The sequence below is a fragment of the Homo sapiens genome, chromosome X, assembly GCF_000001405.40.
Source record: "Homo sapiens chromosome X, GRCh38.p14 Primary Assembly".
Lineage (NCBI taxonomy): Eukaryota > Metazoa > Chordata > Mammalia > Primates > Hominidae > Homo > Homo sapiens.
Window position 1 is genome coordinate 17,183,187 of NC_000023.11, and position 13,953 is coordinate 17,197,139.

A 13,953-nucleotide genomic window follows, 5' to 3' on the forward strand; every position below is an offset into this window, starting at 1 on the left:
AAAAACAGGAATTATGAACCAAATACTCTATTCCACACACAGCTGATGCTGGATTTATGTTTTATCCGCTTTAGTAAGTATGAGGAAAACTTCATATGCCTATTATTAATAATTAACAATAAAAACCTGTATGAAATATGAAGAAATGATACACTTATTCACTACATTGTACCCCAAAAATATATATAATTACTGTCAATTAAAAATAAAATTAAACCAAAAAAACTCCTCAATAAAAGTTGTAGAATAAGTATATGAAGAGTAAAGCAATACCAGTGACCTAAAGTTTATTAGACCCATGGATCAAGTTACAAAATTTTGCTTCAAGCCAGCATATGTGCTGTATGAGGCATTCCTTCTAAAATAATTACAGAATCTGATCCCTTCTCACGACCACCACTGATACTTCTCTAGTCTAAGCAGCATCTTCCCTCCCCTGGACCTTACAACAGCCTCCTAACCAGGCTTCCTGCTTCCACTCTTGTAATTCTACAATCCATCCTCCACCCTGCAGCCAGAGGGAACTCTAAAAGATGGAGATGAGATGATGTCATTCTTCTGTTTAAAGCCCTCCAGTGGTTTCTTACTGAACTTTGCTCACCTTTCTGACTTCCCCTCTGGCCACATTTTCCCTCTCTCACCAGTCCAGCCACACTGGCCTTTATGCTGTTTCTTGAAAACACACCTAACAGGGTTTGACTTGCAATTTCCTTTGCCCTAAGGCCTTCACGTAACTGGCTCCTTCCTTTCATTTGGATCTCTGCAAACAGGTCACCTCTTTAGAGAGGTCTTCCCCAAATATGTTACCCATAGTACTTCTCCATCACCTCATCCTCTTTGTTTCTTTTTTTTTTTTTATACTTTAAGTTTTAGGGTACATGTGCACAATGTGCAGGTTAGTTACATATGTATACATGTGACATGCTGGTGCGCTGCACCCACTAACTTGTCATCTAGCATTAGGTATATCTCCCAGTGCTATCACTCCCCCCTCCCCCCACCCCACAACAGTCCCCAGAGTGTGATGTTCCCCTTCCTGTGTCCAAGTGTTCTCATTGTTCAATTCCCACCTATGAGTGAGAATATGTGGTGTTTGGTTTTTTGTTCTTGCGATAGTTTACTGAGAATGATGATTTCCAGTTTCATCCATGTCCCTACAAAGGACATGAACTCATCATTTTTTATGGCTGCATAGTATTCCATGGTGTATATGTGCCACATTTTCTTAATCCAGTCTATCATTGTTGGACATTTGGGTTGGTTCCAAGTCTTTGCTATTGTGAATAGTGCCACAATAAACATACGTGTGCATGTGTCTTTATAGCAGCATGATTTATAGTCCTTTGGGTATATACCCAGTAATGGGATGGCTGGGTCAACTGGTATTTCTAGTTCTAGATCCCTGAGGAATCGCCACACTGACTTCCACAATGGTTGAACTAGTTTACAGTCCCACCAACAGTGTAAAAGTGTTCCTATTTCTCCACACCCTCTCCAGCACCTGTTGTTTCCTGACTTTTTAATGATTGCCATTCCAACTGGTGTGAGATGATATCTCATTGTGGTTTTGATTTGCATTTCTCTGATGGCCAGTGATGGTGAGCATTTTTTCATGTGTTTTTTGGCTGCATAAATGTCTTCTTTTGAGAAGTGTCTGTTCTCTGTTTGTTTCTTTTAATGTACGTGTTACAATCCATATTATCATGGCCATCTATTTGTTTTCTTCTTTACTTTCTGTCTTCCCCATATCAGTTAGTTTCCCCTTTGTCAGTTTTATTGTGTAACAGACTACCCCAAAACTTAATGGCCTAAATAATCACTTACTCAATTACTTATGATTGTGTGGGTTGCCAGTTTGGTCTAGGCTCAGCTGAGTGTTTCTTCTGCTTGGGCGAGGGTTGGCTGATTTGGGCTGGGGCTGCTCATGCACGTGCTGTCAGCAGAAGGATCGACTACAGCTGGTTGGTTTATAATGGTCTTCGTTGGGAAGGCTGGAGTACTGGGGCCTTTCTTCACATGTTCTTGCATCCTCTAGCAAGTCAGCCCAGGTTTGTTCACATGGCAGTTGTAGTGTTCCAAGAGCTTGAGAGTGGGAGATTTTGGGCTTCTTGAACTCTAAGCTAGGAATTGCAGTGTTACTTCCGTTGCATTGGATTGGTCAAACAAGTCACTAGACCAGCCCAGATTCAAGGTATACAGAAATGGGGTCTTCCTCTTGATGAGAGAATTTGCAAAGCATGGCAGCCAGTATTGCATTTTATCATGCCCCCATTGGATTGTAACTCCGCGAGAGCAGAACTTTGGCCCTGGTCCATGGACTGGTGTTTGGAAACTATGGCTCAAAAGCCCAGAACTGTGCTACATTCTGGTCAATCCCATATTCAGTCCTCACTTGGGCTTAAGTTATTCAAGATGTGGCAATTCCGCCTTTCACATTAACCCACTCTGGAATGCAACCACCAACTGAGAAACTGTCGCTGTAGAGAAAAATTACCCAAGTTGGAATGGAGAGAGGGGAGGGGGTAATATGAGAAACTTTAAATTGAAGAGTGAGGCTGAAAATCTGTCACGTTCTGTAAGATAAAAATCTTCTCAAAAGGGCACATCTGCCAAGACTGCATTTTCACAGGCAGTCTTGACTGGAAACAAGGTCAGCATGAAGCGAGTGTCCTCTCTTCCAGCCAGGCCTTGGGAGGGAGTGGAGGGATTTTGATGAGGACTAAATTGGATCCCCCAAAGGTGGGGCTCTGTGTCCTATCTAAAGAAAAAAAAAATCTTCTTAAATTGGCTAGAAATGCTAGCAAGGGCAACCTCATCCTTGCTGTGGAATTAGAATGAAGTTACATAGGATTTTCTCCCTCCTCACACCTGAACTGTTTCAAAGTATACTTCATATTTCAGAAGCAAGTCGTTAAATTAGTCAGCCCATCAATAAGTACTTAGAGCTGACCTACCATATTTGCAGTGCTGTGCTGAATATCTTGAGGACACCCCAAAGTGGGGGGATTCTGCTTCAGAGAACTTACTAGGGACACACAGTCCCTGAAGGTGCTAACAGTGGACACTGTCTGCTGGCAGCATTCCTTGCAGCTGGGGCAATGAGTCTTTCATTGAGGGAGGATTTGGGAGTACAGTTTCACGTCTATCACAACTATCCTTTATTGAGCAATTCAAATGTGTGGACATTCTGCTCAGAGCTTAATGTTATTATGCAATTGAGTCTTTATGACAACCCTCTCTTGAGGTGAGTGCCATTAGTATCACATTTTATGAATGAAAACTGAAGCCCGAAGTTATAGGACTAATTGGTGGTCAAGCCAAGATTTCAACTCACATTTGTCTCACTCCAGCTAGAACACTATGCTAGCCTTCCAGTATAAGATTACCAGTAGTAAACATAATCAGTAGCATTTATTGTATTCTTATCACCAGGCTTTACATGTATTATTTTATTTAATCCCCACCATAGCCTTAGGAAATAAAGTTATTGTGTCCGTTTCACATATGGAAACACAGAAGCACAGGGAGATTAAGTTCATGCCCAAGGTCACAAAGCAGGTCAAGGTGGCCCTGGATTTTCTCATAATTTTAGTAGCTGATGGTGACCCTCCTGTACCTTCTTGTTCTGGGTGCTGACCTGATTCAGTGGTAGGAGAGCTGCCATTGTTCCACCCACCCACAAGTACCTAAGACACATTAAAATGGGAACCATGTATAATGGACATTGGAGACTCAGAAGCAGGGAGGGTAGGAGGAGGGTGAGGGATAAAAAAAAAACTACATATTGGGTACAATGTACACTACTCAGTTGACAGGTGCACTAAAATCTCAGACTTTACCACTATACAATTCATCCATGTAACCAAAAACTAGTTATACCTCAAAAGCTATTGAAATAAAAAAAATTAAAACAATGGGAACCATGGCTTTTTCCGAAAAACCTTCCCACTGACCCCGATCCCATTCCTAGTGGGCCTATCATGGATTTTATTCCTCTTGCTGCCCTAAATCCCCTCCCTGCTGGAATCTTTACAAGTCTTTTCTTTTGCTCTTTCATTATGGGAGGACGGCTCTGCAGAAATCTCTTCCTTCCCTCTTTGTCTGTCATGTTTTCCCCTTCTAAGCAGGCTGCAGGGACCAGGGCACACAGCCAAGAAGAGGGAAGGAGACCTTCAAATCCAGGCTGCCGAATGGGCCCTCCTTAGAAGCTCCTGAGAAAAGAGATCTAGAGCGGCTGACACAGAGGAATGTGCCCGGAATGCAGCAGCCTCCTGTCAGCTTTATTTCGGGCAAATTAAAGCTGACTGCAGGAGAAGGGGCCAAAGAAACCCAGCCCTTCACACTCTTCTTGGACATAACACCCAGCTTCTATCTTGGAAGATTCCAGCTGGACAGGCTCCAGAAATTACTGCAACTAATGCTGTCATTCTACATAGGATACGACAGAAGCTCAGAGAGCTCAGTGGCTAGTCCAAGGTCACATGGTCCTTTAGTGACAAAGCCAGGCCTACAGAACCCATACCCAAGTCACTCTTCTTTCCAACCACCTTTCAGCAGGGCTTCCAGCCTTCAGACCTTTGGGGACCACCTTCACAATTTTGGCCACATCCATGAATCATCTGTGCCAATAATTGCTTAAGATTTTCTCAAAATTGACTAATGTTTTAAATAGAAATTATTGAAAAAAGGAAGCTTCACATCACCAGTTTGTCCTGGTTTTATGTTTTTTCTAATAAATATACAAAATATAAAATTATATCATTTTGTACCCCACCAGCAGTATGCCTTTCACTTTTTTCGGAAACCAGGTCTCAGAAGTAACCACAATGAGGTATAAGCGTCGCTGAGTTCAAGTTTCTTCTTGGTTACTTCCCAGCTGCAATGTCATGGGCAAGTCACTTCACCTTTCTGAGCCTGTTTTCTTAGCTGTGAAATGAGAGTGAATACTAATTCTCACCCCTGCACTTCTTATAGGGTTGTCATGAGAACCAAACATGGGAATATACTTGAAAGAGCTTTATTCATTTAGAGAAGCTAGACCAATAGAAATTTTCATGATTACTCCTCTTAGGAGCTTCACTATTTTCCCATTTACGGTAGAAATATTTCTTTGGTTGCCCACTTTCCAAGAGATGTGAAGGTCTCCTGGTGCTGGTCCCACTCTTTTTGAGGACAGAGTGTCTCTGAGCAAATCCCTTATTTTCACATGCTTATCTGTCCTGTGGGGTTTCTACTCCTCTTTAGTACTCAAGGACATCCCCAGCCAGATGATGAGTGAAGGTCTGGTTTTACATAGTTTGATGAACAGACTTTCCTAAACATGTCCAAAGTCTCTAAAGTTAGTGAGAAAAATATCCTAGGAAAGGCTCAGCTGTCATATCCAGCCCTGGCTAGCTCTGGACAGAGGAAAGGAAAATGCTGACCTATAGCTAAGAAATCTGGAAAACTGATCTGAATTTCCTGTTATAAAGTACTGAAAGGAGTGTCAGTTTGTAGGCCTTGTTCACTGAAACTAAAATTTAAGGGTAAATTTCACCAGAGATAACTCATTTTCTGATTTTTTTTTATTATTATCCAGTCTTTGTGTTTAAAGATCTTGAAGAAAGAGCTTGTTTGGGCTTTTAGATTTATAATGGATTGTCATCAGGGATATGTGTGTGTACCATTCATAGCACTTATGTGCCAAGCACTATTCTGGAATTTTACAAATATTAACTCATTTAATTGTCTCACCAACCTGTGAAGCAGGTACTATTAGTAGCCTCATTTTATAGATGAGGAAACTTAGGCACAGAGTAGTTAAGTGGCTAGCCCAAGGTCAAACAGCTAGTATTGGGCAGATCTGACATTAAAACCCAGACAATATAATTCCAGGATATCTTTTTAACTACTATACTATGTTATGAAATATAAACATACTGAAAGTCTAAATTCCATCTTTCAAGGCCTAATTTCAAAGGTTCCTGCTGCTTGAAGAATTTCCTAATCTAACGCAAGAGAAACCTTCCTTAAACTCCAATTGTGTATTCTCTGTATCTCTCTAAAGGCACATGCCACTTATCTCTCTAAAGGCACATGCCACTTTCTTTTCTTTTCTTTTTTTCTTTTTTTTTTTTTTAGACAGAGTCTCGCTCTGTCACCCAGGCTGGAGTGCAGTGGCGTGATCTCAGCTCACTGCAACCTCCGCCTCCCGGGTTCAAGCAATTCTCTTGCCTCAGCCTCCTGAGTACCTGGGATTATAGGGGCCTTCCACCACGCCTGGCAAATTTTTTGTATTTTTAGTAGAGATGGGGTTTCGTCATGTTGCCCAGGCTGGTTTTGAACTCCTGAGCTCAGGCAATCCACCCGCCTGGGCCTCCCAAAGTGCTGTGATTACAGGCATGAGCCACCGCACCCAGTGGCACATGTTACTTTCTAGCTTGCTTTAGAATGATTTTTATTTGTCTTATTTTCCTCTCTCTCCTCTCTCTCTCTCTCTCTGTCTCTGTGGTGTGTGTGTATGTCTGTGTGTCTGTGTGTGTCTGTGTCTGTGTGTGTGTATTCCTTAATAGTTATTAGTGCCCTTCACAAAATATTTCTGGCTCTCCACTTCCAGGTGTAGAGTAGAATTGCATTTCCTTGTCCCCTCCTTTGCTATGGCATAGCCACAGACAATATTTAAGAGAGTGGCTGGTCTATCTGCCCAGGTCCCTAACAGAACATGAAAGGAAGAGTCCTGTCAAGCTATGGCGGACAGGTATTGTGTGCAAGATATAAATGTTTTCTTGTTGTAAGAGATATTTGTTGTTCAAATATTGGGGCTATTTGTTACCACAGCAAAACCTAACCTACACTGACTGATGTAGTCTAGTTGGTCCCCAGTTTTAGTTGTCAGTATGCCGTATGGGAGATGGACAACTTCTTAAGAACTGCACAGTTTGGCTTTTGGAAGGGAAAAATTTTAACCAGGGATGGAGGTGGACCTTAACACGAATATATAAAAGGTATCCATATTGGAAAGGAAGAAATAGAGTTCATTCTACTTACAGAAGACGTTATTATGTGGAAAATCCTAAAGAATCTACAAGAAAACTCCTAGAAATAATAAGTCAGTTTAGCAAGTTACAGGACACAAGACAAATACACAAAAATTTACCGTATTTCTATATACTAGCAATAAACAATTGGAATTCACAATTTTACAGTAGCACCTCCAAAAAGTGAAACATTTAAGTGTTAGTCTAACAACGTATGTGTAGGATCTTTATGCTAAAGGCTACAACACACTGAAGAAATAAACCAAGGAAGGTCTAAACAAATGGGAACACATACCATGTTCATCCCTCAGAAAATTCAATATTGTTTAGATGTCAGTTCTCCACAAATTGATTTATAAATTCAATGCAATCCTAATCAAAATTCCAGCAGGATTTTTTTGGGGGGTAGATATGTATAAACTGATTCTAAAATTTACATGGAAAAGGAAATGGACTAAAATAGCCAAAATAACTTTGAAAAAGAGCAGAGAAGTAACACTATTTAATTTCAATACTTACTATAAAGCCACATTAATCAACATAGTGTGGTATTGGTGAAAGACAGAAACATAGATCAATGAGAAAGAACAGAAAGTCCAGAAGTTAACCTACTCAAATACAGTCCATTGATTTTCATTAAAGTTGCAAAGGCTTTGCAGTGGAGAAAGAATAATATTTTAAATAAATGGTGCTGGAACAATTGGACATCCATATGCGAAAAGATGAACCTTGACCCAACTTCACAACTTATACAAAAATTAATCTCAAATGGATCATAGACATAAATATAAAAACCAGTAAGCTACAAAGCTTTTAGGAAAACAGAGGAGGAAGTCTTTGTGACCCAAGGAGTCCTTAGACACGACACAAAAAACATGATCCATAAAATAAAAAATTGATAATAAATTAGATTTTATCAAAATTAAAAATGTCTGCTCTTCAAAAGACATTGTTAAGAGAATGTAAAGACAAGCAGATTGAAAGAAAATACTTACAAATCACAATTCTGACAAGAACTGATATCCCAAATATACAAAGAACTCTCCAAATTCAGCAATAAGAAAAATGGGCAAATGATTTGAACAAACATATCATCAAAGAAGATATATGAATGATAAACAGGTATATTAAAAGAAGCTCACCATCATTAGTCATTGGGGAAATAAAAGTTAAGACCACAATGAAATACCACTTCACACTTATAATAACTACAATTTTTTAAAAGCAACAATATCAAATGTTGACTAAGATGTACAACAATTGGAGCTCTCATACGTTGCTAGTGGGAGTGTAAAATGTTAAAAACACTTTGGAAAACTGTTAGTGTCTTATAGAGTTAAACCTACATTTACCAGCAATCCCACTTATAAGTATTTGCCTGTTAAATGAAAACATATTCATATAAAAACCTGTACATGAATTTTACAGCAACCTTATTCATAATTGCCCAAAACAAGGAATAACATATATGGCAGGGAATACTCAGCAATAAAACAAAATGAAATATTGATACTTGCAACAACATGGATTATTCTTAAAGGCCTTCTACTAACTGAAAGAAGTCAGGCCCCAAAGGCAACATACTGTGTGATTCCATTTACGTGACACTGTGGAAAAAGGTAAAACAACAGATCAGCACTGAAGAACGCATCAGTGGTTGCAGGGTTTAAGTGTGGGGCAAGGAGTTGATTACAAAGGGGGCACCTCAAGGGAATTTTTTGGTGTGATAGAACTGCGTCTTGATTATGGTGGTGCTTACAGAACTGTATCATTTGCTCAAGCTGATAGGACTGTATGCTACAAAGAGTGAACTTTACTGCATGCAAATTAGAAAATAGATAAATAGAAACAACAAGTGCATGTATTATGTGAGCTTGGTACACCTGCTAATTTTTTTGAAATATCTCTCTCTCTCATTTTGAGTATTTAAATCACTCTGGAATCAGTGCCTGTCAGAGATAGATTCTGCCCCCGACCGCCGATGTGTGTGCGTGTGTGTGTGCGTGCACGCATGAGCGTGCATGTGTGTTTTCTGTCTCTTTAACTCAAGTTTCCAAGAGAGTGGAAATCATCCATGCTCAAGTAATTATTTCATCTCCGTCTCTGCATGAGTCACCATTTTGTTAACAGGAGACAGGAAAAGTCTCTGGAGGCATGTTAGCATGAAGTGCTTATCCTGCCTCAGACTGCAGTGCCAATCTCTCATTTGGTTTCCCACTAAGTATGCCTACTATTGTATCAATTTGCCTCCTCCCAATAATCTGTTGGGTGGAGTAGTCAACTGGCCCTGCTACATGTCCTGGTGTCCACAGATCCACAGATGAGAAGGAGGACAGGAAAAAAGGGTGGCCTGGTCCAGTGTCCCATGAGGTGAATGGGGGAGCAATTCTCCCTCATATTTTTTTGAAACTTTAAAATTTTTGGTCTAACATTTAGTTTACACAGTAAAAGGCATAAAGTGTACAAACCCTAAGTGGTTTACTTGATATAGTTTTGTATATACCCAAATAACCACTACCCACATGAAGGTATAGAACCACTTTCGGCACCCCAGATGGTTCTTCATGCCTCTTTTCACTCAGTAATTATCTCCCACTCCTTTCCAGAGGTAACCACTCTTCTGCCTTCTATCACCATAGAATAATTTTGCCTGTTCTCAAACTTCATGTAAGTGGTATTACACAGTGTGTACTCTTTGTGAGCATGGCTTCTTCTGCTTAACATAACACCTGTCAGATTCATCCATGTTGTACGTATCAGAATTTTATCTGTGTAGTATTCTATTGCATGAATATTCAATAATTCTTTACCCACTGTGAACGTTTGAGTTTTTGGCTATTATGAACAAAGCTGCTATGAACATTTTGTGCATGTCCCTTGGTGGGCATATGCATGCATTTCTCTTGAGTTTATAGATAAGAGAGGTATTACAGGAGATGCATATGTTTAGCTTTTAGTAGACATTACCAAACAGTCTTCTAAAGCAATTGTATCATTTTGTGTTCCCAGCAGCAATATATGAGAATTCTTGTTGCTTTACACCTTGTCAGCACTTGGTATTGTCAATGTTCTTAGTTTTAGCCATTGTGGTGGCTTTGTGGTTGTATCTTATCATGGTTTTAATTTTCCCCTTGAAATATGCATGTGTACCCTTGCTGTTGTCCCAAGGAGGAGAATTTCTGATTGGTTTGAGGGATGTGGAATGGGAGTGGCAATGGCAGGTGATGGGATGGTGGGAGAAGCACTTTTGTTAGGAGGGAGGGCTTGTGAATTGTCCCAGCATTGCAGTCCAAAAGTGGGTAGCATCCATGTGCCTATTTTCCTGAAGGCTGTTCGCTCAGAGGGCTGGCTCATTATTAACAGGCATACTCATTTCTCCAGGAGGCTGTGCTTGGGTTATGACAGGCAGAATGTGTCCCTCTCCTAAGCAGATGGGCTGCTTGGAAGCTTTTTCTGGTACTATATGAACTGGTGTGGCATTTCCAGTCATTTGTTTTCAGAATGACAATGTGTCAGTTTAACCACCACTCCCCTGATACACTTGCCAATTAGAAAAGACAGTGAGAAAACAGCCCAAGAAACAATTATTTATCAAGATGGGGGAAACCAAAACTCACTGTCACCTATTTATTTGGTTCGTCAATGACCCTCTAAGTACAGGAACCTCTAAAACACAGGTCCATCAAGCAGGTGAGCTATCAGTCATTTTACTGTACATTTCCTCAGATCTATTCTGATTTATGGTAGGAAAATAATGGAGAAAACTGGGGATGCATCGACAGTCCTAAGTGCTCTCTGCGTTCATTTTAGCTGGCCCCAGCCCCGATGCCTGTGATAACCCAAGGAAGAAGTCATCAAATAAACTGACAAACAGCACTCATCAGCTTGAGAATTGAATACCTAAGTATGAATTCTAACCTGCTACTTGCCAATTGTGTGACCGTAGCATGTTAATTGGTGTTATGGAGCCTCAATTTCTTCTTTTGTAAGTACAGACCCTAAAGTTCATCTTACAAGGATTTTTTCGGGGGTAAAGATTAGTTGGAACAACAAATATGAAAGTAGGTAACATATCTAATAGGTTCTCAATATATATTACTGATCTAATAGCCCAAAACAGCTCAGATGTCCTTCTACAGGTGAATGATTAAACAAACCATGGTATGTACATCCCATGAAAAACTACTCAACAATAAAAAAGGGACAATGATGCATACAGTACAAACAACTTAAATGAACTTGCAGAGAATTATGCCAAGTGCAAAAACCCAATCTTAAAAAGTGACATATTGTATGATTCCATTTATATAATATTTTGGTAATGACAAAATTTTAGAAATGGAAAACAGATTAATGGTTGCCAGTGTTTAAGGATGGGAAGATGGCTGGGAGGAAGGTGGGTAAGATTAAAAAAGGATTATGAAAGGACTCTGTGGTGATGAAACTGTTTAATATCTTGAGTGTGGTGGTAGATACACAAACCTACACACGTGCTCAAATTGATAGAACTAAACACACACACGAGTACAAGCAAAACTGGGGGAATCCAAGTAAGTTCTACAAATTCTTAATATTCTGAATGTAATATTGAACTACTCTTGCAAAATGTTACCGTTAGGGGAAACTGGTTAAAGGGCATGTGGACTCTCCCTCTATTATATCTTATGACTTCATCTAAATTGACAATTACCTCAACAAAATTTTCAATTAAAATATTACTGATCTCTTTAAGTGTAACATGGCATGGATTATAAGAAGCACTATTTAATAACAAGCTCAATTTAATAATTTAAGACAAAAAATACACTGCCTTATTAAATCTATTTTTAGATTGCAGGACAAATCCTGACTTGAGAACTGTTAAAATGTGGTTGTGAGGGAGGGAGAAATTGCAAGCTACATTAAGGAAATTTGATAGTTTCTAGTAGCTTCTATTTATCCTCCTTCTTCATGCTCTCTCTTCAGATAACCAAAGTTTTCATTAAGCCTAATTCCAAAAGGAAGAAAGAACTTCTGGCAAAAGAAGCCACACAAAGCTGTTGTTGACTTAATTCATTTATTTATTTGTTGCTTCTCCCTCGTCTCTGCCCACCTTTCATGCCCAACTCATCATTAAGCCCTAGAATAATGACTTGTAGACAGTGTGCATTATATATTCGGTGAAGATAATGAAAGGATTTTAAAGCACGATTGCTGATTAGGGTAATTCCTAAGTTACAGGAATAACAGTCTAATGGTAAAATGTTGAGCACCTTGGCAGTTGGGGATAAAAATCATTTTGGCCCTGTTCAAGTAGCTCAACAGAACCCCCTGCCCACTGTAACCTTATTCACGTACAAAACCCATCCTTTCCCAAATATATGTTCCAAGTTTTAAAAATTGAGCCTAAAATTGTAAGGGTATGTACACATTGGGAAATGAAATTGTCATTAACACAAATGTGACTTCTGGTGGGTGTTCTAGATCTATCAGCTGATAATTGATGATGAGAATTTTGTCTTCTAAATAAGGAGTATTCTTATTCTGTCCTGGGAAGACACTTTAAAGTGTTTTACCTGGTATGTTTGAGGTAATATTTAAAGATTTTGCCCTCTGGCTTCAAAATTCCTCTCTTGATAACAATAATTAACTTGAATTAAGGTTTATGCGAAATGCAATAAAAATAACTCAATATTTTAATTATTGGCAAACCAATTTTCATTTTCTTGAAGTAGAAATAATGAAATAATAGATGCCAACACTCCACTACTTCCCATGATTTTATTATTTTAGATGCGAGGATAATGTTTTAAAATATTATCCAAATGTGTTTTCCCTCTTTGGTGGGTAGTTACTAAAGGAGGAGGAAGAGGAAGAGGAGGAGGAGAAGGAGAAGAAGAAGAAAAGAAGCACCTGCTGTTCTTCTGCCATTAAGATTATGCAATAAGATGAAGGCCTACTGCCTTGGGAGGAGGAGGTAGATACAGCGTAGGACAAAATAGTCATTGCGCAGTTTTAAATTTCAACTAGATTTTTTAAAAACCCTTACTGGGGCAATAGTCTTGAAAGCCAGACTAAAAAAAGAAATAAAGGAGTTTTCCTAGGACTCCCAAAGTTGGGCCCCTGTATAATAGAAACCAAAGCTTAGATGGTTACTATGGTCTGAATGTTTGTGTCTCCCCAAAATTCATTATGTTGAAACCTAATCCCTAATATGATGGTATTAAGAGGCGGGGCCTTTGGGAGATGATTTGTTCATGAGGGGAGAGCTCTCATGAATGGGATTAGTGCTCTTATAAAAGAGGCCCCAGAGAGCTGCCTTGCTCCTTCCATCATGTGAGGACACATCAAGAAAATGCCATCTTTCAACCAGGAAGTGGACCCTCATAAGACACAAAATCTGCTGGTATTTTGGTCTTGGACTTTTTCAGCCTCCAGAAATGTGAGAAATAAATGTTCATTGTTTATAAGTGACTTGGTCTGTGGTATTTTCTTATAGCAGCCCAAAATGGACTAAGACAAGAGCTGGCCGTAGAAAAGCCATAGAGTAGGAAAAACAGGGACACAGTGAAAGTCAGGGACACTCCTGCACGCTGGAGAGGGAACAGCCTTCCAGTTCTTGGAGGTGACACTGGGCACAGAGAAAGGAAGAAGATGCAAGTGTCCCCCTATATTCCCATTCTTTCCATCATCCAAATAGCCCTCTTTGGGGGCAGAAGTAAGGGGTGGTAGGAACACCCAGCTAGGCTTGGGAGAATCTGAGAGCACTGGGGTAGGTGACCACCTCACCAGGCATATCCTGGATTAATACAAGCATTTCAGAGAAACTTGCAACAACATTGTGCCTCCTTCTTGATGGGGAAGAAGCCAAGTAACAGCAGTGGAGAGAGGTACCTCCATAGCCTCACAGTCTCGCATACTTCAGAGGCAGTAGAGAGTTCCAGGACCCCTAACTGGG

General features: G+C 39.8%; 1 protein-coding gene across 8 annotated transcripts in view; it reads left to right on the forward strand.

Moving 5' to 3' along the window:
- The window catches only part of REPS2 (RALBP1 associated Eps domain containing 2), a 249,998-nt gene extending 236,529 nt beyond the window's left edge, over positions 1-13,469 (forward strand). For 7 of the 8 annotated variants that reach the window (XM_011545603.3, XM_011545606.3, XM_011545605.3 and 4 more), the window contains one exon: positions 4,128-6,694. In XM_011545603.3, the coding sequence (XP_011543905.1) occupies positions 4,128-4,205 (78 nt within the window). In that variant the 3' untranslated portion in view covers positions 4,206-6,694. Of the gene's footprint in view, positions 1-4,127; positions 6,695-10,826 lie in introns of those variants that run through there. The other variant, XM_017029956.3, reaches the window with a different exon arrangement.